We start from the raw sequence: 4,309 nt of genomic DNA, 5'->3' as shown, positions 1-4,309 counted from the left end.
TTCACCCCTGCTACATGCCACACTGTGATCATGTCTTCTACTCACAGTCACATTTCTTATCACATTTAAGACAGGTGATAACTGACTTGTACCCTCATGGATAGCCTGCTGCAATTTTTTTTTCAGCTTTTGGTCTCTATTGTCACTGAGTAACACGTATTTTCTGGTTCTCTCATAGAAAGACCCTCTCTGTGAGACAGTTTCTTAACATCTTCACTCTTAATAACAACAATAAGAATGAGCAAAACTGAGTCAAGGAGAGGACTGTGACTTTTCGTAACTACTATCTTCCTCAGTGATCCTCTGTTTTAAGTTGCATTTGTGTTTAGCTTCTGTTGAAGAAAATGAATCAACCTGACATCTGTATTCTATTAGTGTCATTACCAAAGTTATCAGTCATATATGAGGTAATTCTTATTACAGAAATATGTATTTTGGAAGAACAAAATATTTCTAGGAATAAATCTAACAAAATATGTGGAAAACTTTATGGAGAAAAAAATGAAAATACATGGGAATCATTAAAAGACACAGAAACATTTTGCTGAATAGAAAGACCAGCTATTGTAAAATGTCAGTGATCTCCAAATTGGTTTTATTCATTGCAATTCTAATTTTAGAAATCTTATGAATATTTTAACTGTTGTTTGTTGTTGGTTCTGTGGCGCTTAGTAAATTAAATCAAAATTCACAATAAAGGGCTAAAATTAGCCAAGACTTTACTGGAAACCACTGCTAGATTTTCCCAATCAGATATTAAGATATGTTTTAAGGCTTTATAGTTAAGACAGATCAGCACAGGAAAGTGAATAATTTTACACATTGAAGAGATGTGTTCTATTCAAAGCATTTGTTGCTAAACCATTGTTATGACAGCAAACGACATATTTATGGACAGCACGGGGAGCTGAGGAGCAAACAGGAGGAAAGAAAATGTTGCAAGTATTAAGTCACAATTAAAATTCATTTCCAACTTTCTTCTAAGGAAAAATACCCTCAGTCTTTATTGGTTATACACTTGAATAATAATAGCTTTTCTGAAAATTACTCAAAAGTCAACATGCTTTCAACATAAAGGAATCAAATAAAGACTTAGAAATGACAGGGGAGGAGCCAAGATGGCCGAATAGGAACAGCCCAGGTCTACAGCTCCCAGCGTGAGCGACGCAGAAGACAGGTGATTTCTGCATTCCCATCTGAGGTACCGGGTTCAACTCACTAGGGAGTGCCAGACAGTGGGCACAGGTCAGTGGGCGCACGCACCATGCGCGAGCCGAAGCAGGGCGAGGCATTGCCTCACTTGGGAAGTGCAAGGGGTCAGGGAGTTCCCTTTCTGAGTCAAAGAAAGGGGTGACGGACTCACCTGGAAAATCGGGTCACTCCCACCAGAATACTGGGCTTTTCCGACCGGCTTAAAAAACAGCACATCAGGAGATTATATACCTCACGTGGCTCGGAGGGTCCTACGCCCAGGGAGTCTCGCTGATTGCTAGCACAGCAGTCTGAGATCAAACTGCAAGGCGGCACCAAGGCTGGGGGAGGGGCGCCCGCCATTGCCCAGGCTTGCTTAGGTAAACAAAGCAGCCTGGAAGCTCCAACTGGGTGGAGCCCACCACACCTCAAGGAGGCCTGCCTGCCTCTGTAGGCTCCACCTCTGGGGGCAGGGCACAGACAAACAAAAAGACAGCAGTAACCTCTGCAGACTTAAATGTCCCTGTCTGACAGCTTTGAAGAGAGCAGTGGTTCTCCCAGCACGCAGCTGGAGATCTGAGAATGGGCAGACTACCTCCTTAAGTGGGTCCCTGACACCTGACCCCCGAGCAGCCTAACTGGGAGGCACCCCCCAGCAGGGGCACACTGACACCTCACACGGCAGGGTATTCCAACAGACCTGCAGCTGAGGGTCCTGTCTGTTAGAAGGAAAACTAACAAACAGAAAGGACATCCACACCAAAAACCCATCTGTACATCACCATCATCAAATACCAAAAGTAGATAAAACCACAAAGATGGGGAAAAAATAGAACAGAAAAACTGGAAACTCTAAAAAGCAGAGCACCTCTCTTCCTCCAAAGGAAGGCAGTTCCTCACCAGCAACGGAACAAAGCTGGATGGAGAATGACTTTGACGAGCTGAGAGAAGAAGGCTTCAGATGATCAAATTACTCTGAGCTATGGGAGGACATTCAAACCAAAGGCAAAGAAGTTGAAAACTTTGAAAAAAATTTAGAAGAATGTATAACTAGAATAACCAATACAGAGAAGTGCTTAAAGGAGCTGATGGAGCTGAAAACCAAGGCTCGAGAACTACGTGAAGAATGCAGAAGCCTCAGGAGCCGATGCGAACAACTGGAAGAAAGGGTATCAGCAATGGAAGAAATGAATGAAATGAAGCGAGAAGGGAAGTTTAGAGAAAAAAGAATAACAAGAAATGAGCAAAGCCTCCAAGAAATATGGGACTATGTGAAAAGACCAAATCTACGTCTGATTGGTGTACCTGAAAGTGACGGGGAGAATGGAACCAAGTTGGAAAACACTCTGCAGGATATTATCCAGGAGAACTTCCCCAATCTAGCAAGGCAGGCCAAAGTTCAGATTCAGGAAATACAGAGAACGCCACAAAGATACTCCTCGAGAAGAGCAACTCCAAGACACATAATTGTCAGATTCACCAAAGTTGAAATGAAGGAAAAAATGTTAAGGGCAGCCAGAAAGAAAAGTCGGGTTACCCTGAAAGGGAAGCCCATCAGACTAACAGCGGATCTCTCGGCAGAAACCCTACAAGCCAGAAGAGAGTGGGGGCCAATATTCAACATTCTTAAAGACAAGAATTTTCAACCCAGAATTTCATATCCAGCCAAACTAAGCTTCATAAGTGAAGGAGAAATAAAATACTTTACAGACAAGCAAATGCTGAGAGATTTTGTCACCACCAGGCCTGCCCTAAAAGAGCTACTGAAGGAAGCGCTAAACATGGAAAGGAGCAACCGGTACCAGCTGCTGCAAAATCATGCCAAAATGTAAAGACCATCAAGACTAGGAAGAAATTGCATCAACTAATGAGCAAAACAACCAGCTAACATCATAATGACAGGATCAAATTCACACATAACAATATTAACTTTAAATGTAAATGGACTAAATGCTCCAATTAAAAGACACAGACTGGCAAATTGGATAAAGAGTCAAGATCCATCAGTGTGCTGTATTCAGGAAACCCATCTCACGTGCAGAGACACACATAGGCTCAAAATAAAAGGATGGAGGAAGATCTACCAAGCCAATGAAAAACAAAAAAAGGCAGTGGTTGCAATCCTAGTCTCTGATAAAACAGACTTTAAACCAACAAAGATCAAAAGAGACAAAGAAGGCCATTACATAATGGTAAAGGGATCAATTCAACAAGAAGAGCTAACTATCCTAAATATATATGCACCCAATACAGGAGCACCCAGATTCATAAAGCAAGTCCTGAGTGACCTACAAAGAGACTTAGACTCCCACACATTAATAATGGGAGACTTTAACACCCCACTGTCAACATTAGACAGATCAACGAGACAGAAAGTCAACAAGGATACCCAGGAATTGAACTCAGCTCTGCACCAAGCGGACCTAATAGACATCTACAGAATTCTCCACCCCAAATCAACAGAATATACATTTTTTTCAGCACCACACCACACCTATTCCAAAATTGACCACATACTGGGAAGTAAAGCTCTCCTCAGCAAATGTAAAAGAACAGAAATTATAACAAACTATCTCTCAGACCACAGTGCAATCAAACTAGAATTTAGGATTAAGAATCTCACTCAAAACCGCTCAACTACATGGGACCTGAACAACCTGCTCCTGAATGACTACTGGGTACATAACGAAATGAAGGCAGAAATGAAGATGTTCTTTGAAACCAATGAGAACAAAGACACAACATACCAGAATCTCTGGGACACAGTCAAAGCAGTGTGTAGAGGGAAATTTATAGCACTAAATGCCCACAAGAGAAAGCAGGAAAGATCCAAAATTGACACCCTAACATCACAATTAAAAGAACTAGAAAAGCAAGAGCAAACACATTCAAAAGCTAGCAGAAGGCAAGAAATAACTAAAATCACAGCAGAACTGAAGGGAATAGAGACACAAAAAACCCTTCAAAAAATTAATGAATCCAGGAGCTGGTTTTTTGAAAGGATCAACAAAATTGATAGACCGCTAGCAAGACTAATAAAGAAAAAAAGAGAGAAGAATCAAATAGACGCAATAAAAAATGATAAAGGGGATGTCACCACCGATCCCACAGAAATACA

The 4,309-nt window shown here is 41.4% G+C and overlaps 1 annotated feature.

Annotated features, from left to right (window-relative positions):
* Nucleotides 1,393-1,944: an enhancer, noted in NCBI's record as "H3K27ac-H3K4me1 hESC enhancer chr8:115648705-115649256 (GRCh37/hg19 assembly coordinates)". NCBI's record gives its function as "activates a minimal SCP1, AML or CMV promoter by ChIP-STARR-seq in primed H9 embryonic stem cells {active_cell/tissue: H9 hESC(primed)}" and the evidence as "EXISTENCE:reporter gene assay evidence [ECO:0000049][PMID:30033119]".

This window comes from Homo sapiens, chromosome 8 (assembly GCF_000001405.40).
Source record: "Homo sapiens chromosome 8, GRCh38.p14 Primary Assembly".
Lineage (NCBI taxonomy): Eukaryota > Metazoa > Chordata > Mammalia > Primates > Hominidae > Homo > Homo sapiens.
Note: the sequence above shows the minus strand (reverse complement) of the source record. Positions and strands in the feature narration are given on the sequence as shown.